This window comes from Homo sapiens, chromosome 6 (assembly GCF_000001405.40).
Source record: "Homo sapiens chromosome 6, GRCh38.p14 Primary Assembly".
NCBI lineage: Eukaryota > Metazoa > Chordata > Mammalia > Primates > Hominidae > Homo > Homo sapiens.
Window position 1 is genome coordinate 133,424,538 of NC_000006.12, and position 26,365 is coordinate 133,450,902.

Here is a 26,365-nt window from a genome sequence, read left to right on the forward strand (position 1 = left end):
TCCTTCCTGGGGGCACCGTGGGTGCCAGTGGCAGAGACGACCCAGATCCTGCACCTGGGAGGGCAGGCACAGCTGCACCCAGAAGCTCCCACCCTGCCAACTTGGAAGGGGCGGGACTCCTACTTGTCCCCAGCTCCTGCCTTCTCCATGGAGTGGGAGGCCCAGGTCTGCAGCTGTGGGTCAGGTGGCTGCAGCTGCACCCAGGAGGGCAGATTCTGCCTGTTCTTGGCACCCCTCAAGAGCACAAGGAGGCTTGGATCCACAGCCGCAGTTTGGGCGGCTACAGTGGCATCCAGGGAGCTCCCGCCCACTCAGAAGGGATGGGGCTCCCACCCGCTCCATGGAGTGTGCAGCCCCAGCAGTGCCTCCCTGCTACAGCCAGTGTGATGGCATCAACTACTGCCATCACTACCACCTTCCTCCCTCCAATCTCTTGGCAACCATGGATCTTCCTTGATAGTTGCTTTCAGAGCCTTCTGTGTTGTAAGTGTGTATCAATGGGTCATTCCTTTTATTGCTGAGCAGTATTCCTTTGGGTGGTGGTACTACAGTTTATCTATCCGCTCACCTATTAATGGACATTTGTGTTATTTCCAGCTGTTTAATTGACCACTTAATCTTTCACAGAAGAATATATATATGCGCCTATAAATTTTGTCATATGCAAAATGTTAAATAGGAAATAATCCCTGTTAGTATTGTAATCAGTGCCTGGGACAGGACGTGCATAGGTATTCAGTAAGTAGGTGTTAAAGGAACTTAGACATGTTTTGGCAAAATCTGCAATCTAATTAGGAAAACAAAGCAAGCACACCTAAGAAATTAAAGTGCACAGAGCAGTTGACCTGAATGGAAATCAGTAATATAATAATATCCATCTTCTACCCAAAGGTCATGACACCCCCCCAACCTCGCCATCAGCACTTACTTGGAAGTCTCCCTTCTTTCAGTTCAAGGCATCCTAAATTAAATCACTCATCTTTCACTGAAAACAGTCCCTCCACTTTCTTCCTGTTTTGTTCAAATCTTTTCCTAACTACTGAGTTCAAAACCTGAATTATTTTTGTAATGTCCCTCTGTTCACATTTGATTAGTTTCCAAGTTCTGGTTATTCTGCTTCCTAAATGCCCCCACTTTGTTGCCGCTATGACTGCTTTAGTTTAGCTCTAACTATCTCTTAGCTCAGCACTTAGTCATCTATCTTGCCTCCTTGACTGGCTTTCCCCTCTCTAATTCAGCCTCCACATGGTCATCACACACTTTTCTGAAGTGTAATTTTGACCATGCTGCTTTGTTGCTTCTACCTCTCCATTTGCTCCTCATTGCCTGTAGGCTAAAATTCAGACTTCGTGGGATAGCACTGAAGATGCTCTATGCTTTTCACGCTTTCTCCCTGACCTCTATCATGCAGAAATATTTAACTGCTTGCAGGAACGTGAACACACGATGCCGTTTCCCATCTCCATGCCATTGAATAAACCTGTCCATCCATCTTCTGGAATGTTTCGCCAACTTTGACCAGGAGAAAACTCAGAACTCAGATTTGAAGCCTTCTTTTATCTCCTGCATACATGTACATTTACAGAAAACTCAGTAAAGTTAACCACTCCTCATCTATGCCAAGTGTCTACAACACTGCCCTTGCACTGTTGCCAGATCTTCCATGCTAGACTGTGACCACAGCAAGTGGCTTTTTACCTTTGAATCTAGTAACAAGTACAAGAGCAGTTACCTAATAGGTACTCGGCAAATATTTTGGGTGCTGAATAAATATGAGTAACTCAAATTATGGTGCTCAATAAATACGAATAAATGAACATGTGACTGAAATAATCTGATCATCAAGTTGTAATATCCCAGCCAACATATGCCTCTTGTATTTTACTTGTTTTCACTTGTCACCACCACCTTAGTCAAAAACCATTTAACTTTCTTCCTGAATTGTTGAATCAGCTTGCTAACCTATGTCAGTAAATTATCCCTCTTTTCTAAACTATAGTAACACAGATTAGCTAGACTAATCTTGCAAAGACTGCTTTAATTATGTTATTTCCCCATTAGATTCCACTGCCTGGCTTTCAAAAGCTCTAGCTACTCTAATAATCAGACTTTTTTCTATTGTATAACACAGTCTCCATTTCAGCTAACCCATTCTTCCCACTTGCCCATAACAAGCTCTGTTCCTTCCAGCTTGTGTGCCGGTGCTCACATTTATCCTTTTGCCTGAATACCCTTGTCCTCTCTTCCCATCTGTCTGAATTCTACTGACTATTTATGCCTTGCTAAAGTTGGCACCTGCATCATATCTCCTTTCTATCTATATCTATATCTATCTATTTATATCACATCTCCTTGGAACTTCTGAACTATAGCAATTTGCTATTCAAAGCGAATAGAAGTTACAATGTACATATTTTCTCTCTATATATCGGAATCTATATTTTCCCCCCTACCCTATACTAGAATATAAGCTCCACAAAGGCAGAGAATTTTTGTCTGTATTGTCTGTAAAGGAAAGCCAAGGGCTGAGACACACAATATTTCTTAAATAAGTGAATGAAAGTATGAAATTAACAGTTGCATGGTGCTGGTTCAAATAATCCTCATTTCCTCGGAAGAAAAGCACTTTGAAGAAAGTATGAACAAATTTGAATTTCTGAATTTTAAAGTATGTGATACTTTAGAGGCAATTTCTTGAGTGGAATTACAAAACCATATTCACTTATCTAAAATGTAGCATTAAAGTTCTGAATTTTAGAACCACTTCTGAACGTCATGATTTCTGTACAAGATAGTGTCAATTAGTCAATCATGTTATCTGGAATTTTTATGCATTAGTATAAATTGAAATTAACTCAACATAGTTCTATTACAGAAGTGGATAAATGGAGCATGAAATGATATGAGAACATTCTACTCAAAGTAAAAAAGTAGATTCAGGTTCTTGGATCCAGATTAATGTGATGATATCTGTATTTTGACAGGGGTAAGGCCATTTTGCAAGTCTTTCCTAAATTCCATGATTGTTAAAAGGAAAAAATTAAAGCTCACTCTATTGAAGTCCTTAGCTCAAAATTTGACACGTACTAGATATGTGTTAAATAGTTGAATGGAAGCCATTGGAGAACCATTTTTTTTAAGAGGAGGGGGACTTCAGAAGGGCAGTGACATAGTTCCAGTTGAATTTGAGAAAAAAATTAGGGTAATTGTCTAGAGAATGATATAGAGAGAAGACAGAAGATAGTAAAACCAGGAAGTTCTTTGTTCATTCATCAAGGTTCAGTTATAAAGCACCTACTACTTGGTATATACCTAGGGCTGAGTGAATAACTAAGATTCTGTTATAAGTATAGCCTGCTGGAAAAAATTTAGATGAACAATTATGATGACAAAATTTAAGAGTGATTAGAGGGAAAGGAGTGAACACTTTGGAATCTATTCTGCTAGAAATGCTGATTGTACTTGGTGAACGGTGTAAAAATTGAGGGTTTGAAGACACACTCCAGTGTTCTGATTTGAGAGACCAATTTAATAATATAGTTAGAGATAAGAGTATGAGAAAGTATGAAAGGAATGATGATGGGGTTGGTTGTGGACATATGAAGTTAGAAGAGTCTATAGAAAATCCCTGTGGAGATAACCAGTATAGAATTATAGGTAAGTTCTGGTGCTCAGAGAGATATGAGGGCTGAGGAGGGATGAATTTGGAATTAATCAACAAAAAATAGTTGTTGAAAACATAAATCCATGTGGAATTTCCCCAGAAGGGTGCTTACCTCATTGAGATGAAATAAGGGCTGAGGCTGCAGATAAGGACAGCAGAATGTTAAGAGGACAAGAATGACACTCAAAGACAGCACATCATGGCTAGACGTGACGTCAAGAAACCAGGAAAGAGTAGTTGTATCACTTAAAATGGTTTCAACTACAAGTAATAGAGAACCTGACCCACCCACTTTTAAACAATACTGTAATTTATCTGCTCTCATAACTGGAATTCCAGAGGTAGACTGGCCTCAAGAGTGGTTGATCCAGGAGCTCAATAACTTCATCAAGAAACCAGTTTCCTTTGTCTCCTTTTGCACTGCCATCCACGGCTGTGAATTTGTCCTACATCTGTTTCTCCTCTGGGGATAGAATGACTGGTAATACAAGTCAGACTACATGCTCCCTCCTTTATATTCAGCGGAAGAGGCAGTTTGAATAGGAACCTCTCCTAGAAGAATGAAGAGGAACTTACCCCCAAGTCTCCAGCAAAGTGCTCCTTCTGTCCCATTGGCACAAATTTGGTAAACTAATTATTCCCAAAACAATTATTAATTTAGATTAAGAATTAGGCCTCCATCTTCTGGGGCTGAGGGTAGATTTAGCTTCTTTTTTTTTTTTTTTTTTTTTTTTTTTTTTTGTGAAATGGAGTCTCACTCTGTTGCCCAGGCTGGAGGGCTGTGGCATGATCTCGGCTCACTGCAACCTCTACCTCCCAGGTTCAAGCGATTCTCCTGCCACAGCCTCCCGAGTAGCTGGGATTACAGGTGTGCGCCACCACACCCGACTAATTTTTGTATTTTTAGTAGAGACGGGGTTTCACCATGTCAGTCAGGCTGGTCTCTAACTCCTGACCTCATGATCCACCTGCCTCAGCCTCCCAAAGTGCTGGGATTATAGGCATGAGCCACTGCACCTGTCCAGATTTAGCTTCTTTTGAGGCACCAGCCTTTGCTGGTGAGAGGTGAATACCTGAATAAAAATTAAGATTCTGTTAGGTAAAAGGAAGTGAGACAGTTAATGCATAGCAGACAACAAGGAGCACTACAGAAGCATTAGTAAGCTTAGGAGGGAGAAAGGTTGAGGAGAAGTTATTAACATTGTCATATACCAAATGGGTCAAGGGAAGAATTAAGGAGAGGCGGAAAAATGCCCATGAGAGCAGTAATTAGAATGTGACCCCAGAGACACACCATGGATTCTAATTAAAGTGGATAGAGGGTGACTGTGAGGGGAAAAGTAGTTATGAGGAATTGAGTCTAGTTTCAAGATTCTGAGTTTTGAAAGAAACGATAAAGATAATAGCTAGAGGGGGGAAATAATGAGAATCAGGGGTTTCTTTTTTGTTTTGTTTTCATGATCATCAATTAAATGTTTCAAAGTTAGTCAGTGATTTCTAACTGGGCTCTGATGAAGGGGCTTTGAGTGACCAGTTGTATGAACTTAGTCAACTTGTCAAGTCTCTTTGACTTCTCATCCATTGAAAGGGAAAAAAAGAAAGCTGTTTTTATCCTATGGAGTTGGTGGATTTCAGAAATATTTTTCTTCAGTTTTCTTTTATTTTATTTATAATTTCAACTTTTAGAATCACAAGTTACATGTGCAGGTTTGTTATATGAGTAGATTGTGTGATGCTGAGGTTTAGGGTGTGAATGATCCCATCACCCAGATTGTGAACACAGCACCCAACAGTTAGTTTTCAACCCTTGCCCCTCCCTCCTTCCCACCTCGATTAGTCCCTAGTGTCTATTGTTCCCATCTTTATGTCCATGAGTACTCAATGTTTAGCTCCCACTTGTAAGTGAGAACATGCGGTATTTGGTTTTCTGTTCCTGCAGTAAATTCACTTAGGATAATGACCTCCAGCTGGTACATACATACCATGGAATACTATGCAGCCAAAACATAATGGAATCATGTCCTTTTCAGAAATATTTTAAAGAAGAGAATATTGTTTATATTTTAGGTGTGTGTGTTTAGGAGATATTTTAAATGTTATACTCCATCAAGTCTTCAATACATTTGGGGGAAACAGAAAATAAACTAATTTTACTTTCTACCTCATTGTTTGGTCTTAGGCTAAAATCCATGTTTTACGGAGAATTCAAGAAATTTTTAAACTTCAGGTAGAACTGTGTTTTTTACAAATGTATAGAAAGCATAGTGCCTAATGCATGGTAGAAACTCATTAAATGATTATTAAATTGTTCTACTTTTCATATTTAAGGATGAAAAATATTAGAGATTCTCCATCAATCAGATTATAAAATTCTTTATACTGGAGAAATTTCTTATACCATATTTTTTATTTGTCAGAGAATTGATTCTAAAAAACAATAAAACTATGCCACAAAAAAAACTAGTAATATTGAGTAGTGCAGCAAAACCTGGGTAACTAAGTCTAACTAGGTAGGTTAATTGAAGTTACTGGAAAATTTATTCATACATTCAACAAGTGTTCATTGAGCACTTATTATGTGACAGGCCTTGTGCTAGGCTTCTTGCTCTCATAGAGTATACATTCTAGAGGGAGAGCCAATTAAATAAATTAATATACAATATGTCAGGGAGATAATTGCCTTGAAGAAGAATAAAATGAGATAATGGGATAGTAGGCAATTAGTACAAATGTTTTCATTTTGTATGAGGAGAGCAGGAAGGGAATCTCTGAACAGGGGATGTTTGAGCTGAGACACAGGACATGAAGAATGGCTGGGAGAACTGTGTTCCTGGGAAAGGGGAAATCAAGTGCAGAGGTCCTCACCTGGGAACACATTGGGTGTGTTTGACAAACAGCAGGTTAGACTGGGGAGATGGGATGTAGGGAATTGGGGCTCTGTGAGTGAGGGGAATCACCTAGGAGATGAGGTCAAGAAATGGGGCATCAGTGTGCCATATAAGGAAGCAAGGCCTTAGAGACTGTGGGAGGAATTTGGGAACTACTCTAAGAGACATGAGAAGGCATTAGAGGGTTTAGAGCAGAGGACTGATTGCATTGAGCTGGTTATCACTCTAACTGCCTTGGGGAGAATAGGCTGTTCTAGGGCAAGTGTGGCTTGGGGAGATAAAGTTCAAACAAATGTAACTTTTTGTTTCCTTGAAATATTTAATAAAGTAAAGCTACCTATTCAGGGAGTTTGTGCAAGTAATAGCACTGTCAGATCTACTACAATAAATAGGTGATAATGGTTTGTAATTAGCAAAGTAACTATTCATATAGAAATCATTCAGTTGATGCTAGTTGACTAATCACTCCTCATGCAATCTTACTCTTGTATTTGATGAACTTTGTTTTGAAGCCAGTGCAATATGAAGTGCACCATCCCTCCTCAGCAGGGACAAATTACCAGATTATTGAGATCAGTCTCCTTAAAATTAATGTTATTATAACATTCTGTTGTAAAGAAAGAATTATATGGCAGGTATTTTTGTCAAGCTTTTAGGAACTGTTGGAGTGCTTTAAATTTATAACATTGTGTGTTCCCCTTAAATGTTCATGGTTGGAACACATCTAATTTTATGCAATATTTAAAAACTTTTTTGGCAGTGAGATTCATAGGGCAGAAGTTACAGAATGATTTCATTTTGGAAAATAAGTGAAAAGTAAAGATAACACATGAGCCCAATAAAATAGTCCATTTTCTTGATTTTTTTTTTTTTTTGCCAATATCTTTTTCATGAGGGCAGACCATGGTGCATTATTCCACCCCCGCCCCCAGCATTTGCAAACCACCAGTCATTTCCTTAGGGACCTTAACAAACGGAAGCATTGAATTCTCTTCAGTCAGTGGTGCCTCCCACCTGGGAAAAAGACAGCTCTGTAATTGAATCCCAGCATATGCATTGTCATCCCTCCTGCCTGCTCTCCTGGTGCTACAGCAAATTAAAAGATCTCCAAGGGTCAGCCTGCCTCCCAGCTGCCAGCCCCAGTAGACATGAGGGAGCCAGCAAGGACCAGGTGGAGCAGTTTTGAGTTGCACTAAACACACGGCGCAAGGAGATTGGCCATAACTTCCCAATTGAATATTTATGCCAGCCACATTTCTCATCTTGCTCTTTGGCACTGAACACAGGGCTGAGCTCCTGCTGATTTCAGGGCGCTGCATTGTGTTTGGATCAGCTTTGTGAAGTATTACACCAGATGAGAAATGGGCCCAAGTTCCTATCACTAAGACGGCTGGTTGACTTTTTTTTTTTTTTTCATGGAGACTATCATGTTATAGTATCAAAAGCTGGGGCAGTGAGGGAGTTCCCTGACATCTCCTGACACTGCTGTTACATGAATCGTACACAACTTCAACCATTGCTTGCTATGGAGTGGAACTTTAATGGCTCCTATTCAGGGACAGACAAATATACTCTGATTTGTATATTACTGCATGTTCGTCTTTTTTTTTCAAGGTTTTATTTTTGTTTGCTAAGGTCAGGGACTTATCACAGGGCCCTCTCATCACATTTCACATTCTGATCCCTCGTGGCAGGTGCTAACTTCCTTGCTCTCAAACTGAATGGGTTGAGTAACCTCATAAAGATACAGAATGTCTTGGCAGAGAAAGGAAAAGACTACAGAATGCCTGTCTATGGAAGAGTCTCAGTGTTATTTAGTTATTAGTTAGCCCTGTAAACCCGAGAAGATATTTGGAAACCCATCTACACACACCCATTAACTTTTTCTAGGTGGTGGATCACAGACTTAAATTCATGTTCCTGATTCCTAATCCATATTGTTATCTAATAAAAGCACATTCCTTATGTAGATTTTATCATGAAATTTGCTTAAAAAAATCATTCTCTTCAATTGTATTTTTGTATAGCATAATAAACTATAGATCAGTGAACCACTGAACTTCTTGTGAATTGCTGGTTCTAAAATGAAATTCTCAAATGATTAAATTTAAATAATTAGGAGGCAGTGATAATGAGAAGCCAATATAAGTTCTGTAGGCAAAAGACATGCCAGAGTAACCTCATAGTCTTTTGTGACAGCAGTACCAGAAAGGAAGAGCAAAGACATGCATTACACTTAGAACACATAGAATTCAGCCAAGCGCATGCCAGAGGCTCGGATATTTATGAGAAAAAGACAGAAATTAGCTCAATAACTATTCCCGATGAACTGATATAAATCTGGAGGTATACCTCTAGTACCCTCTTTAAGACCTGTCCTTGGCATTGTGCTTTTCAACATGACTACAGGCATGCGCCACCACGCCCAGCTAATTTTTGTATTTTTAGTAGAGAGGGGGTTTCACCATGTTGGCCAGGATGGTCTCCATCTCTTGACCTCATGATCCACCCACCTTGGCCTCCCAAAATGCTGGGATTACAGGCGTGAGCCACTGTGGCTGGCCAACATGTTTATTGTGAGGGCATTGAGGGCATGCTAAGAAAGTTTGTAGGTGAGATAGGAACTTCACTGGGAAAGAGGACATTGAACAGCAGAATCAGAATCTAACAGACAGGCTGAAACAATGGACTCAAGTCCAACAAGATGGCATTTAGGAGAAACACATGAAAAGCTGTTCACTCGGGTCCCAAATGCCAACTGCATGTGTAGTGAGCGACTGGGAGGACACAGGGCTCTCAAGCATCACATGGGACAAAGACTTGAGAATTTCACTGGCTGGGTTTAGGCATGAATTAGGACTGCACAGTGTCTGAGGACAAAGCTAATGTACTCTTCAGTCTACACTGACAAGTGAGAGTTGTAATAGCCTTGCCATATTTTGGACCACAACTGTGTGACTATGGGGACCACTGTTAAAGAAGAATCCTGGAGATCTTATGGAAGAGAATGCTAGGAAAGTAAAAGAGTTTGAGATGGACTGAGTGGACTGAGGGAATTGGAGATGCCCTCCCTGAGAGAGAAAAAGCTCTTGGGCAGGACAGGTCATTGATGTGTGAAAGACTGTTATATGAAAGAAGGTTTAGACTTGACCCATGACAATAAATGAATTTTCTTGGACCAAAGTTTCAGGGAAGCCCCGGATAGAAAACTTTCTGATAGTATAAGTTATCTGAAAATGAAAGGGCTGCCTCTTAAGAAAATGATTTTCTTGACACTACAAGTTTTCAAATAGACAAACCAGGCTGTTTTATTGTCTGTGTTGTAGAAGTGATTGTAGTAATAAAATTTATGAAGGATGCACTGTAGGCCAACCTTTGGATACTTTTTTTTGTGTGATCTTATTTAATTCACACATTAGCCTTCCAGAGGATATTATTATCTCCAATATTGAGACTAAGGTCCCATGACTGGTAAATGAGGCAGAGTTTAAAATTCAGGTTTTAGTTGACAGTAGAGACTCTTAACACTGCTCTCATAGCCTTAAGCACAATATTCCATTTTGCTTTTGAGGACATTTAATGTCCCTTCAGAACTGGAAATCTGATCATTTTAATAGGTTACCACCTTTTTTTTGTACATTATATCAATGCTTTGCTCTTGTTAGTACAACATTGGGAAACCTAGATTTGTTTATCCTGTGAACAGTTTGATCTTTACTGGTAGAGTTTTTTCTTAGAAAAAAACAGTGATATGTTTCTTAGTACAATTGATGGCATTAAATGTTTTGATTGTGGTCTTATGGCTTTACTCCACTACTTGCTAGAGGAAAATAATTTTCTGCTTCATTAATGATGGTTTGAACTGATCTGACAGAAAGTGAATCCTGTGCCATTCAAATAATGCTTGGAAAATCCATTGGATTTTTGTTTATTTCTTTGTTTTCCGATTAAGGGGGACTTTTAAAAACAAAAATTTAGGGAAATGCTTCTGGTTTTCGGAAACATTTATTCACATTTCTTGGGGTTGGAGAGAACTGACATGTTTTAAATTTGTTAGAGTCATAGTGAACAAAGGGGAAGAGTTGCAGGTCTCAAGTCTAGAGCTGTAGGCCCTGGAAAGGAAAAATTGCAAAAGTGTCCAGAGAACAGTGTGTTCATGGCTTTATTTGCTGTTAGTCCGAGGCCTGAGGTCACCCTGGCAGATGGGTCACTTGCACTGCAAGCACTCATGCTGGCCTCAGGGACAGGGATGAGGTCACTGGCACATTTCAAGAACAGCTTCCTTTCTTTATGCATACACCACTTTCCTGGTCCTTGTTAAGGGTCTCCTTCCTCTTGCGGTTCCCATCTCTGCAGCTGACCCCAGTTCTGACTGTGTCTGGGGAAATGGGTTGGTGAGGGCCTCCTTCTGGGACTATCTGTCCACCTGATCAGTGATATAGACACTGTGCCGCGGAGAGGAGCCACATCTCCCAGCCAGCCTGCCAGCAGAGTAATTGGCTCAGGGTTACAAGTTGTGACAAGTGGTTTTTGGATCCTAATCTGAAATATGTCGGTTTAACATGACCTGGCATTGTTACCTGATGTTTTTAAATGCCCGTACTTTTTCCAGAAAGTGGGAACTGATACACAGCAGTGGCATGTCCTACTAATTTTCATAAGATCTAAATTGATCAGGATGCTTTATTACTTTTTTTATTCCACAGTATATTTTTCCTCTTTGACTCTAAAGTGCATGTGCACGCGTGTACACACACACACACAGACACAAACATGTGTGCACACACACACACCCCCCCTCACTCATTTGGGAGATCTAACACTGCACATATAAATATTGAAACTTCCAGGCTGGGCGCGGTGGCTCACACCTGTAATCCAAGCACTTTGGGAGGCTGAGGCAGTTGGATCAGGAGGTCAGGAGTTCGAGACCAGCCTGGCCAACATGGTGAAACCCCGTCTCCACTAAAAATACAAAAATTAGCCAGGCGTGGTGGCACGTGCCTATAATCCCAGCTACTCAGGAAGCTGAGGCAGGAGAATTGCTTGAACTCGGAAGGCGGAGGTTGCAGTGAGCCAAGATCGTGCCGTTGCACTCCAGCTCTGGGCGACAGAGCAAGACTCCGTCTTGAGGAAAAAAAAAAAAAAAGAAATTTCCACATGCATTTCCATCAGAGAACTAATTCCATCTCCCCTTACCTAGCCCCTTGCTCTCCTGCCTAGCCTGTGGGAATCTTTGAAGATTCTTTGTATTCTAAGAACTGTCCCAAGAACAAAGTAGATGCTCAAGCAATGTTTGCTGAACTAGACTACATTTGATTCCATGTAACCAAATGACTTTATCTACATTTTTTTCTATTCCTTTTATTCATTAGCACCCACTAAATATACTCCACTATTCTAGGAATAGGGAAAAAAATTCATGAACAAATTAGAAAACAATCCTACCCTGATGGTGCCTTACAGTCTTAATTACGTGAATAGAAGCTATTGTTGTTATTCTTACTTTTCAGGTAAGGAGAATTGAGGCTTTTGTCACATAGGAAGAAAAAATTATGAGCAAGTCTTGCCCTTAAAATCATTCTGATGGTCAAATGCAAATTTGCTATTTTGGTGGACTCTTGAGAATGTGGGAAATAGACCCATGTCCACTTTATGCAAAGAGAAAAAGCTGGCATGAGTGGGAGTGTTTGAACATCAAGAATGCTTTTGCATTTCTTGGGTTGTGAACAACTGATGGAGTCAACTTATAAATAAGCAGGATCATGACTCATTACCAGGATCTGTACAGAATAAATAATGGCTTCAGAGTTCGAGTAGACTCTAAACTACACAGTTTTAAGGCTTCCCCTTTCTTGGGTTTGAAGAGGATATTTCAAATTATTAGAAAGAAATTCCATCTATGCTACAGAAAAATTGCAGGAAAAAAAAATCCCCAGAAACTAGTTGCATGTCTTTACATTTTTCTTTCTTTTCCTTTTTTAAGTTTTTGTGTTTATGACTAAGTTCATTTTTTATATTGTCTGGAAAGATGCTAATATTCAAATGGCCTCATGACATAAGGACCACTAACAAGGGGTTGAAATAAACATCCTGGAAAGAAAGAATGACTACCTTTAAATATTATGAGCAGTGTACATTTGGCAGAGCAGATCCTTATATTGACTTTAGTAACCTGAAAACTATTCAAAATGTTTTATTTCAGGGATATGCATTCCTGATTGTGATTTCATGGTGTGAATAAAATAAAGTCACTTAAATTGATAGAAACAGTCTGAGCTCTGGCATCAGATAAACATGAGTTCAAGTTCTGGTGCTGCTACTTTCTATCTGTGTAACCTTGGGACTGCTGTGTATCCTCTCTGAGCCTCAATTTCTTCATCTGTAAAATGTGGAAAATTATATATTAATACGTTATTTTAAAGATTAAAGGTGATAATATATATATGAAAAACCAAACACAGAATGTGTCATACTGTAATAGTCCATTTTCATACTGCTGTAAAGAACTGCCCAAGACTGGGTAATTTATAGAGGAAAGAGGCTTAGTTGACTTACAGTTCCGCATGGCTGGGGAGGCTTCAGGAAACTTATAATTATGGCAAAAGGTGACCGGGAAGCAAGGCACCTTCTTCCCAAGGTAGCAGGGAGGAGAATGAACACAGGAGGAACTACCAAACACTTATGACACCATCAGATCTTGTGAGAACTCACTCACTATCTTGAGAATAGCATGGGGGAGACCGCCCCTATGACTTGATTACCTCCACCTTGTCTCTCCCTTGACATGTGGGGATTATGAGGATTACAGGGATTACAATTCAAGATGAGATTTGGGTGGGGACACAAAGCCTAAACCATATCACATACAATATATACACAGTAAAAACTGATACCCATTAATCATTTCCTGTTGCTTAAACCTAAGGTAAAATTTATAGATTTTACATTCTGTATAAATTGGAATTAAAAAGAAAATGAAGTGTCACAATTAAATTAATCACAAAACATATAAAAGGAAATACAGGAATATTTTTGCTGTATTCTTAGTAGCCATAGTGTATCTCTGTTCTCTGAAGACTTTTAGTTGCAAGAAACATTGACCTACCTAAATGAATTCAAGCATAAGTAACTAAATTGTAAATATCTAGATAATTGCATTTCGGTTTCCTGTGGACTGGAATGTAGAATGCCAAGGCTATTTTTATTTTGAGGTTTTTGTTTTTCAGGGGTAACATTTTCTGTTTCTTCTCTGCTCCGTTCTATGGTGTGTGCTTCATCCTTTTATTCCTGACCGGTGTTCCTTCTTTACTCATCTTGTATGTCGTCCAGATTGGCTATGAGCCCCTACACTACTTTGTGGCTTCAGTGATATCATTAAGCAGATACCTCCCCCAGGATCCCTTATTCGAATTCATCAAAACCCAGCTAAGAATTTCTGATGACATTTTCTAGAATCTTTAAGTTTACATTAATTTCTATCTGTTCCACTTTATGGACGCTTACTGTACTTTAATTTTCTATTCACAGGACGCTGCTTTGTCATTTAGATGGTAAACTCCTTGAGGGTAGGGCCATGTTTTCTTCACTCAGCAATCCTAACACCTGTGACAGTGCTTTACATGTAGTAAGCAACCATTAATTTGTTTGATCATTTAAATTAAAAGTCTTGGCCGGGTGCGGTGGCTCACGCCTGTAATCCCAGCACTTTGGGAGGCCGAGGTGGGTGGATCACAAGGTCAGGAGATCGAGATCATCCTGGCTAACACAGTGAAATCCCGTCTCTACTAAAAATACAAAAAATTAGCCGGGCGTGGTGGCAGCCACCTGTAGTCCCAGCTACTCGGGAGGCTGAGGCAGGAGAATGGTGTGAACCCAGGAGACAGAGCTTGCAGTGAGCCAAGATGGCACCACTGCACTACTGTACTCCAGCCTGGGTGACAAAGCGAGACTCCGTCTCAAAAAAAAAAAAAAAAAAAAAAAAAAAGTCTTTGGGTTGGGCGAGTCTAGTAGAAGATAATGACTTTACGAGCATTTAGCATTGACTGTAATTAAGTCTGTTATCGGGATGTGCTACAGATACTACTTGGTACTGTTTTTGAGCTCATCTTTGTTCTTGGATTTCACATCTCTTTTTCTTCTGTTTGTTCCATGATTGGCAAATCTTCTGATTCCTGACTGCCATTTAAACTCATTTATCCCAGTTTTTCACACTTAAATTCACCTTGTCACACTCACATGCTTGATTTCACAGCTGTTTCTAAGATGGTTATGGCTTACACACCATTTCACTCATTCATTTATTACTGAAATGTTTCTTGAGAAACTGCTTTTCTTGAGAAACTACTTTTTCAGGCAGCTTTGCAGGCAATAAGGATATAGCAGTGATTCACTGGAATGAAATAATACAAATTAAAATCAGCAAAGGAAAAAGGCATATGGGGCAGAGTTCAGGAGAAACCGGAGTTTATTTCCAGTTGTCTTCTGTCCAGAGTTGTACAAATAGCACTTATTTGTCCCTACAACAATGTGCGACAGTACATGCAGAGCGTTGCCAATGGTGGATGCTCATCCAAGCCTTAGTGCCCAGGGGTCACTATTATTGGAGGTCAGTTATATAAACATGTCTGACCACCCATGTGGCTGACCTTCATTACTGTTTTTAGCCCCTTCATAAGTCAGACTGATTCTGCGTGGCTCAAAGCCCCCACCAGGAATCACATTGTTAGCATCATTGTTAGCAAAGAGTATCTGGTGTGGCCCAAGGCTCCAGCTAAACACAGGTACTCTAATAAGTTAAGATATTCCAAGGGCTTAAAGGTTATCTCCCAGGAATTGGTCAAGGGACAGACCTTTCTTTTGAATGTGCAGGGTTTGGACGATACACTTTTTACTGCACAAGGGCTAACCTCACTTATTTTCTTTCTTCTCTCAAGGACCAAGCCCTGCGCCATCTAAACAATTGTTTCCAACGTTGTTTCCTCAGTTTTAGTTTTATAGTGGCAATATTAGGTCCCAGTTACTCTATCATAGACAGGAATTATAGTCAAGTAATTTGAACAACTCTTTATAAAATGTTATTTCATTCTTATTACTTCCTTTCTATGCTTTTGAATATATTCTATAATGTGCCTATATAAAAATGTACATAATTAATTAGCACATATAAATGACACCTAAATAAATATGTACACATATTTGAGGTGCTTACTTTTTTTATTCAATTAACAATCTAGTAGTTTGGAAGCTACTGAGTTTGACAGCTGTTTATTTGCATCTTTAATAGGAAGGGCACTTCAGGAGTTAACAAAGATAAATGAAAAAGAATCTTGTTATCACAGACATCCTGTGGCAGCTTCTTTTTTTTCATTTGTTTTCTAGAAGAACGTGTACACAAATGACAATAAGTTAAGACAGAGTGTGAAAAGTGCTGCAGAGGAAGGTAAAAATAATATAACAAAAATATGACAGTATGACCAGGTCACTTCTGGTTTTGAGGACCAGAAAAAGCTGTTTGGAGAAAGTAGCATTTCTGAGGTATTTAAACATTGATTAAGATGGTTTTCAGGAGCTATCAGACAAGAAAGATGCTGTACAAGCTAAAATTGTGAAGGGGAAATTGTGACAATAGTACAATAATCATTTCTGATACAAGAAACTGTATACTAGGTGATTACTTGAAGATAAAGCTGAATGGAGAGTTGTGAATGTCTGGGTAAGGCATTGGGACAGGATAGTACTGATTATATTTGTAAAGAGAAGACATATAATAAGAGCTAAGTTTGGATTTCTCAGAAATCACATATAACTTTATTTTTGTTCCCCTCTATGCATTTCTTATGATTGGCTTTAATAAAGCATTCTGTTATTTTCAGAATTTGACTGATGTGTTTAGCTGTGGTTTTTCTTTTTCCTATTTGATGTTTGTGGTGCTGTAAGGCTCTGGGGTTGATGTTTTTCATCAGATTTGGGAAAATTTTGACCATTACTTATTCCAATATTATTCTGTATCATTCTCTTTCTCCTGTTTTTTTGATAATATTACACAGGTTACTTATACTCAATTAAGTTTCCACTCCCACTTTTTTCCTCTGTGCTTCAGTTTGGATAATTTGCATTGGCCCAGCTTCAGATATCCTGGTCCTTTCTTTTGCAATGTCCAATATGCTGTTAAGTCCACTCAAATAATACTTATGTAATATATTGTTATTTTCATTCTAGAAATTTTATTTAGTTCTTTTTTAAGAGTTTCCATTTCTTCTCCCTATGCAATATAGAGATACATACTGTTATAAATAAAGCTTCAATGCTGCAAAAGAAATGGCACTCGAATATAAAATTTTCTTTTTAATTCTCAGCAAGGCAACATACTTCTATAGAAGGGTGCGCACTTACAGATAGAGCAATGGTGAGTGCACACCTGGACAACAGAGGGAAAGGGGTTCTTACCCCTGAGGCACATAGCCCCTGCTGCCGTGTCTTTCCCCTATTGGCTATGGTGAGATGGCTAAACTAATTCTGATTGGCTAATTTAAAGAGAGTGACAGGGTGAGTGGTCTGGTGGAAAAAAATGGTTATCCAGGGTGGAGAATGAGTCAGGGCGGAGCAGGTAGTAGGTAATTGGAATGAGTTGGGATGAAGCAGGTAATCAGAATGAGCCAGGGTGAAGCAGGTAATTGGAATGAGTCAGGGTGGAGCAGGTAATCAGAATGAGTCAGGGTGGAACAGGTAATTGAAAAGGGTTGCTTTATGAGGAAGTTAAGTTTAAAAGTAGAAGGCAAAGAATCAATACTGACATATTGATTCTTTGAAAAGAAATTTAGAACTCATATCTAACAATACATATATTTTTATATATATGTTATATACATATATGTATTGATCCATATATGACAGATGTATATATGGCAGATATGTATATATTAATACCTATATATGGCATATAAATATTTATATACCTTTTGTGTGTATCTTTTCCTATAAGTTACTTAATATATTCACATTAGTTTTAAAATCCTTATCTGCTAGTTTCAACACTTGGGTCATAAACAGGTCTGCTTTTATTTACTGTGTTTTCTGTCCACTAGGAGTCATATTTTTCTGCTTTTTGTTAGGTCACAAAATATTTATAATGTTCTGAACATTATATACAATAAATCAATAGCGATTGAAGCATAGTATTTCTTTTGTGTTTTATTTCCCCAAAAAGTGGTAGTTCTTTCCTCTGGCAGTTAAGGTGAGGATCTGTTCACTGAGACCCTTCCTAGAGTTGAGCTTAACTGGAGCTAGACTATGATTAGCCCAACTTCCATCCCTCTGAAAAATCACTGCTTTTATATTTCAACATTTGAACTGGAGAGGCATTGACTGAAGTTATAATTTTTTAGGGTTTTTTTTAGTTAATATTTTTATTTAGTACTGGCAAGGTCCTTATACATGTAACTTTGGTAAATTCACTCATTAGTTCTAGTAGTTTGGGGGTTTGGGGTATGAATTTCCCAGAATTTTCTCTATAAACAATTAAATCATTTGTGAATTAAAGTTTTTTCTTTCTAAACTTTGCTTATTTTATTTATCTTTGTCTTGTACTGGCTAAGATTGCTAGTAGAATATTGTGGTGAAGTAGGAAAAGCAGATGTCTTTGGCTTGCTACCGAAATAATTCATTATTTCATCACCGAATATGATATAAGCTATAGACTTTTCAAGAGTGCTTTTATCAGACAGAGGAAAAATACTTCTTTTCTTAGTTTGCCAAGAATTTGTATCATGAATGGATGATGAATATTGTCAAATTTTTTTTGCACTCATGGAAATAATATTATGTTAATATATTGAATTACATTGATTTCCACATGTGAAATCAGCTTTACATTACTGGCATAAAGCGCACTTGGTCATGATTTTTTTCTATTGCTGGGTTTGATTTGAGAATATTTTGTTAAATATTTTCTCATCTATGTTTATAAGAAATATATATCCATATTTTCTTTTCTTAAAATTGTTCCTTTCTGGTTTTGGGGTCAGGGTAATTCTGGTCTCCTACCATGGAATGAAAAGTGTTTCCTTCTATTTTTTCTGAAAGAATTTATTAAAAAAATTGTTACTAAAAAAAATTTTTTTTTAAATAACAGTAGCAAAAAAAGTTTGCTAGTGTTTATTAATTGAACCATATGGCCCTGGAGGTTTTTTGATAAATATTTAATTATAAATTAAGTTTTTTAATCAATGCAGGACTATTTAGATTTTCTATGTTAATTGGATCAATTTTAATAAATGTGTCTTTCAGGAAATTCACTGATTTTGTGTGTCTTTGAATTAATTGGCATAATATAGTTTATAATACTTCCTTATTACCCTTTCAAAATCATTGGTATCTCTCATGATCATCTTTTGGATTTGTAAATTTTCTCTATTGTTCACAGATTTTGTTTCAATTATTTCTACTCTTTATTGTTTCCTTCTACTTACCTTTTGTTTAATTTCCTTTTCTTCCTCTAGTTTCTTAAAGTGGAAACTTAGGTCACAGATTTTAAATCCTTCTTCTTTTCTAATATAACCATTTAAAGGTATAAACTTCTCATTAATCACTACTTTATTTACATACCACAGTTTGATTTGATCTTTTCATTATCATTTTGTTCTAAATATTTATTATATTTACTTGTGATTTTTTTTCCTTTGGTTCACAAATTATTTGGAAGTGTAGTGTTTAATTTTCAAATGTTGGGGATTTTTTATATGTCTTATTACCATTGCTTTCTAAATTAATTCATTGTGGTCAGATACTATACCCTGTGAAATTTCAACTTTAAAATCTATCAATATTTACTTTATAGCCCACCTATATCCCAGGTCTGTCCTCTTGATAGATGTTCCATGTGCACTTGAAAATAGTGTGCATTTTATAATTATTGGGTATTAGTGTCCTGGAACTGTCAATTAGGTCACATTGGTGATAACGCTTTCCAAATCTTACGTGTATATTTTTTAAAATTTATTTTTGTCTACTTTTCTTCTGTTGGTTACTGTGAAAACTGTGTCATAAAAGCTCCAACTATGATCATAGACTTATCTGTTTCTTCCTTTAATTCTGTCAGTTTTTGCTTCATGTATTCTGTATCTCTGCTTGTAGGCACATGTTATGTCTTCTTGAATAATTTATTGTTTTTCATCATTTTCCAATTCCTTTCTTTATATTTGCTGATAGTCTTCATCTTGAGGCCTATTTTGTGTGATGTAATATTAGCTTGACCATCTTTTTTATGTTAATTATCTGCGTGGTATATCATTTTCCATTCTTTGACCCTCCACCTATTTGGGCCTTATCACTTTTCAGGTTCCCAGGATGCAGATGCTGAGATATTTCCTGCAGGAGTTTATTTGGGTTGTGCTGTCAGTATTAGTTCCTTTTGAGGGGCATGAAGGAAGCAGGGCTGGATTCAGAGACGTTGATCTGTAGCACAGTTGCAGCAAAGGTCTCAGCTAGTCTTATGAGAGGCCCTAGACTATGGTGACCCTTAGGGTAAGAGGGAATAGTCATTTTACCCCTCCATTGACCTGTCAGTAGATGAGGGCTGCCCTCAGAAAGAGTGTGCTCTTGGGCACAGTGACCCCGTTTAGTTGAGGGCAAGTTTTGGAAAGGAACTCAGTAGAAAGCTACCAGTTGGTAACACTCTCAGCAGCTATGGGAATGAGTTCTTCAGGATGTCTGGGCAGCGTACTAAAGTAGCACAGTATGCTGATATTTAAAGTGCTTCTCTCATAGATCCCCCGTAATTAGGTCTTGGTTGTATAATCTAACCTGACCATAGTCAGCTTTTTATTGGAGTGTTTAGTCCATTGATATTTAGTGTAATCGTCAATGTGTTTGAGTTCGAGTGTGCCATCTTGCTTTGTATTTTCCATTTTTCACATATATTCTTTGTTTGCTTCCCTTTTTTTGGCTTCTTGGGGTTAATTGAATTCTTTAAAATGCTGCTTTAATCGTTCTGTTGGGTTTTTGTTATACCTGATGGTATTTTTCTTAACATTTAATGCTAGAGATTACTCCATGTACCCTAAACTTAACCTCTTATCCAAGTTTAATATAACACTTCATGCCAAATGAAAGAACCTTGAAAAATATAATTTCACCCCACTTTTTGCTGTTGTTGTCACATATTATATAAGTCCCTGTATACAGTGCAATTATTTTTGCTTCAATAGGCTGTCTTTCATGAATTAAGAGAAAAATAAAAGATAATCTTTTATATTTACCTATATATTTACATTTATGTTATTCTTAATTCTTTCCTGTAGGTCTGAGTTTTCCTCTGGTATCTTTTCTTTGAGCTGAAGGTCTTCCTTTAGTATTTGTTATAGTTCAGGTTGTTGGTGAGAAATTCTCTCAACTTTTATTGATCTTTATGTTTCTTTCTTCCATGAAAGCATGTGTAGCTTCTTTGGGCTACTGCACAGTTCTTTTTCCTAGTTTCCTTTCCTTTTTCTTTTTTTTTTTTTTCTTTTGAAACAGAGTCTCGCTCTGTCGCTCCGGCTGGAGTGCAGTGGCGCAATCTCCACTCACTGCAAGCTCCGCATCCCAGGTTCACACCACTCTCCTGCCTCAGCCTCCGGAGTAGCTGGGACTACAGGCGCCCGCCACCAAGCCCGGCTGATTTTTTTTGTATTTGTAGTAGAGACGGGGTTTCACCGTGTTAGCCAGGATGGTCTCGATCTCCTGACCTCGTGATCCACTCGCCTCGGCCTCCCGAAGTGCTGGGATTACAGGCGTGAGCCACCGCGCCCGGCCTCTAGTTTCCTTTTCAAAAGATGGTCAGCCCTTCAAGAATCCCAATTTTATTTTATCCCAGTTGTAGCACAATCTCTGGAGCAAACTTAAGTCAAAGTCCTATTCCTGAATGCATACTAAAAGTGTTACAAAACCAGCTGTCAGGACTTGGGCTCATTTTTTGACTCCCTGGGTCAACAAGGTCAGCTGGAAGCTTCTGCTTGATTTGGAGTTCACACTTTATTTCTAGCTACTGATTTCTTCCATATTGGTGGCAGGGGATGCCAAATTTAGGTAATTAAACATTTTCAGCTCTCTAGTGTGTAGCTAAGGTGATCAGTTTAGGAGGGTGGGTATGCATATCAGCTTAAATTGCCAAGATGACAGAATCTGCATTTTTTCTTACAGTATTATATGGAATAGTCATAGGATTATTTTTTGTTATTTTTATATGTCAGTGATAACATGTTTATTTTTGTGTTAGTAATAACATGTTTTCCATATTATGTTATAATATGTTATAATAACGTGTTATGTTATTACAAACCGGTTATGAGGCTTAACTTACTAGGGAAGCTTTTCTTATTTATTTATGCATTTGTTTGTATGTTTGTTTCTCATGAACTGGCATGTTCATCTGGTTGACTAAGTCTTAGATACTGGTTTTAATTATTACTGTGAGATCACGTGGTCAATAGAATAATATTTGTAATCTATTAAAAAATAACTGCTGCAATTTCAACTTTTCTCTGCTGCTTACTGCTCTACCAGGTCTATGGAAATGCAGGACCTAGCAAGTCCTCATACTCTTGTTGGAGGTGGTGATACTCCAGGTAGCTCCAAACTGGAAAAATCTAATCTCAGCAGCACATCAGTTACTACAAATGGGACAGGAGGTAAGTGTACTACCCTGAAGATACCCAGAATCATATTTCAATGTTTGCTTTAATTTTACTTCTTAGAGATCTGCTAATAAATAAATATCTTATTATCAATAACACAAATCAGCATTATATCCAAGGTATATATAATTAATATTGATTGTTTTGATGATTTTCTTGAAATTTTTGCTCCTCCTGTATAGCTGGGAACATTCACAGAGAATAGATAGCATTGAGCAACATTTCAAGGGCCTTGAACAAGGCTTTCTTTTTGTATTTGCCCTTGTAAATATTCCACAAACTTTAGAAATTGAGGTCAAAGGATTTCCACCCTGGTATTAGCAAAAATGTCTGTATGTGTGTGTGTACACACTTACTACTTTTTGGTTTTATTTTGAATTATAAACATTTTTCTTAAAAATGTTTCTTCTTAAAAGTGCTTTTTTAAAAAAACACATGGTTTTGGAAATACAAAAATACTCATATCTGCTGCATTTTCTTTTCAAAGAGAATAACACTTAACATTTATTTAAAAAGGAATTGCATTTTTTTCAGATAATTTCTCATTCTATTAGCCCATAATTACGCCACAGCATGACAACAATAATAGCTATTACTTCAGATATTCTGCTTTATTATTTTTATAAAATGTATTCAACTTGTCAGAAAATATGGTCCAATTTTTATATCAGAATGTGTGTTTGTAGAGATTATGTATACACTTATATATAGACTGTATTTTAAATTATTCACAATTTGAAATTTTGTAGATCCATCTAGCCAATAAATTTAGAATTATATGACATTTAATTTAGATATTAGCATTTGCCACATCATATTTTCTTTTAAATTTTAAATAAATATCTGTGAAATTGATACACCTCTTCCCATTTATTTTAGAATAACGATGCAATCTAAAGTTTTCTCTGTAAGGTTGTGTGCATTGCAACTTACCTGTATTTAATAATGTTTTACACCAGTTCCCTTGTAGATTAACATTTTCCTTGTTTATGATGTTTATTTGTCTCTAAACATGCATCTGTAATTTCAGCTAATTAATTATGCAATTGCAAATGTATAGAATATTTAGTGATGAAAACTAGAGTAAGGTACATTTAAACCTTAAATTGGGTACAAATAATAAAATTTAAAAACTCAAGCACTCTAGGAACAGACTGGTGAAGTTCACTAATCATCATATGTATATATTTGACTGAACTAAAACAGACCTGATAAACTAAAATGTTGAAGTCATACAGTGCAGTTATAATTTTGGCTAAAAGGTCAGAAACCAGTGCAAGCATTGAAGATTATTCATATCCACTCAGCAGGCATTCAGACAATGAACTTTTATACTGTTCCTGTTCTCAGGGGAAAACATGACTGTTTTAAACACAGCAGACTGGTTGCTGAGTTGCAACACCCCCTCTTCTGCAACAAGTATGAGAGATGCTGGTACACTGCATGTGTTTGGGTGTGTGGATTTGCCCCTCTGGATTGCTGTCTGTTGCTATGTCTATGTTTGCATCTCTTTTCTGTGTTCAGTACTTAAAAAGGAAAAATGAACATGCCTTTTAGTTGTTTATTGACAGCAGTTGGTTATGATTTCTTATCAATCTGTATTCTTAGATTTTTTTAGGTCAGTAGTATTAGTATTCTTTTCTTAAATTTTTCATAATTTCACCTAAATGATGCATATATTGGTTTTCTAACTATTTATCAGTTTATTACATGATTAATTTTGCCCAACAACTGCCATGTCAAACAGCAATTGAAGCAGAATGGCCACGCATGCAAACTTAATCACCTTCATAACCCACAGACTTTCATAATTTAAATTAAATTCTTAATTAAGGAAAGATATTTGCTACTCTACAGACTTTGAGAAATATTCCAAAGTATATAAGGTAACATTAATAATCAATATCCCCTCACCTTAAAAATTATCAGTAATGAAAGCTATACATTTAAAACTAGAAATTAATATTGGCTTTTAAATTTTTTTGAACTATGGATATTAACTGCATTCATACCTACACACATATAAACAAACTTTCTCCTAAATCAAATTCTAATATCCTAAAAAAAATCAATTAGAACAAAGCCATCACATTTTTGTGGCACCACCCAGTTGTAGAATCAAAAAGGAGCTCATGCCTATTGGAAATGTGCATCACAAACAAGCAGTTAGAATAGGCACAGTTTGCCTGGACCTTGCTCTATCTCTGATGAAATTAGAATATATGATCAGTGAAGAAAAACTACTTCAATATGCTCATTATTTGTATTTGTATAGTTTTAGTTTTAATGTTTTTCAATTTTATACTTAAATATACTTTTCATACTTAAAATTATGTTGCTAGAATTTAGATACTCTTAATTCTATAGCAGGGTCTTTTTCTCTAAAGGGCCAGATAGTAAGTATTTTTGGCTTTGTAGGCCACATGTCTGTGTTTCAGCTGCTCAGCTCTGCCATCATAGTGCAAAAGCAACATAGAAAATATGTAAATGAATAAGCATGGCTATGGTCCAATAAAACTTCATGGGCCCTAAAATTTAAATTTCATATAATTTTCATGTGTCATGAAATATTGTAATTTTGACAACTTTTTAAACATTTAATATGTAAAAAAATGTTCTTAGCTTACTGGCTGTGGTCTGTTCTCAAATAGTGTTTAACACAAGCAACATTATAATAGTGAATATGTGCAATAAATAGTAATTTACCTCTGATCTCAACCAGAAACATTTTTCTAAGTGGTAAGCATCAGGCTTTCCTGGTTCTTAATGTCAGTGTTAAAACTCGTGAGTCCATGGGAGAAGAACAAGGAGTTGTGCGTCAGGGCCACTGTGGATCTGGATCTTAGCACTACACATACTGGCTGTGTCACCTTGAACAAGTTACTTAAGCTCTCTGAGCTTCAATTCCTTTCTATAAAAGGATGATAATAATACTTCTTGGCAAGACTTTTGTCTTAGATAATGTATATAAATTGCTTAACAATAAATATCAGTATGTCTTCCTTTCTTTAATTAGTAATGCAATAATAGGCAACAGCTTTTTAAGGAAAATGAAAATATGCATTGTGTTAACAGACTCCATTTGGTCAGATAAATTTAGTTGCATTTAGAAATGTGTAAACTGGGCTAAAGAAAGCAAACTTTTGGTAACAAAATGTTAGATAAACTTTGATTATTAATAATGTAGTCCTGGTAGCATATTATATGAAACTTTTAATGAATTTCAATGACTTTTTTTTTTTTGAAACGGAGTCTTGCTCTGTCACCCAGGCTGGAGTGCAGTGGCGCGATCTCCGCTCACTGCAAGCTCCGCCTCCCGGGTTCATGCCATTCTCCTGCCTCAGCCTCCCGAGTAGCTGGGACTACAGGCACCCGCCACGACACCCAGCTAATTTTTTGTATTTTTAGTAGAGATGGGGTTTCACCGTGTTAGCCAGGGCGGTCTCGATCTCCTGACTTCGTGATCGGCCCGCCTCAGCCTCCCGAAGTGCTGGGATTACAGGCCTGAGGCACCGTGCCCGGCCAAATTTCAATGACTTTTTATGGTGGGTGTTGGTGACACAGACTAAGCATTTGTTGCATGATCTCTTCTGTTAAGAATAAACTATTTTATTTTCAATTCTTGGTTTTTATTGTTGGAATTGTATCACTTCATAAAATTATAACAAAACAAAAGGCAAAAGAAAAGAACTAATTTAATAGCTTTTCAAGATCATTCCAATAACTCGAGATGTTCAAAAAGATTCTTTATTTATTTATTTAAGATGGAGTCTCACTCTGTCTACCAGGCTGGAGTGCAGTGGTGCCATCTCGGCTCACCGCAACTTCCACCTCCCAGGTTCAAGTGATTCTCCTGCCTCAGTCTCCTGAGTAGCTGGGACTACAGACACACGCCACCACGCCCATCAGGCTAATTTTTGTACTTTACTTAGTAGAGGCTGGGTTTCACCACGTTGGCCAGGCTGGTCCTGAACTCCTCACCTCAGGTGATCTGACTACCTAGGCCTCCCAAAGTGTCGGGATTACAGGCGTGGGCCACTACACCCAGCCTAATTTTTTTTAATTGATATAAGTAGATAGTATCACCTTTAGATTTTATCCTACTACATTGGTGCTCTTTAAGTATGTTGCAATATTCTTGA

At 37.5% G+C, this 26,365-nt stretch overlaps 1 protein-coding gene across 30 annotated transcripts in view; it reads left to right on the forward strand.

The window, feature by feature from the left end:
* Window positions 1-26,365, forward strand: part of EYA4 (EYA transcriptional coactivator and phosphatase 4) — a 291,536-nt gene that overhangs the window by 183,945 nt on the left and 81,226 nt on the right. For 21 of the 30 annotated variants that reach the window (XR_007059221.1, XM_047418278.1, XM_047418275.1 and 18 more), the window contains one exon: window positions 22,093-22,217. Coding sequence is in view for 27 of the 30 variants with exons in the window: in XM_047418278.1 (XP_047274234.1) it covers window positions 22,093-22,217 (125 nt within the window). In the remaining 3 variants the exon portion in view is untranslated. Of the gene's footprint in view, window positions 1-22,092; window positions 22,218-23,573; window positions 23,643-26,365 lie in introns of all 30 variants that reach the window. The other 9 variants (XR_001743219.3, XR_001743220.3, XM_017010368.3 and 6 more) reach the window with 1 other exon arrangement.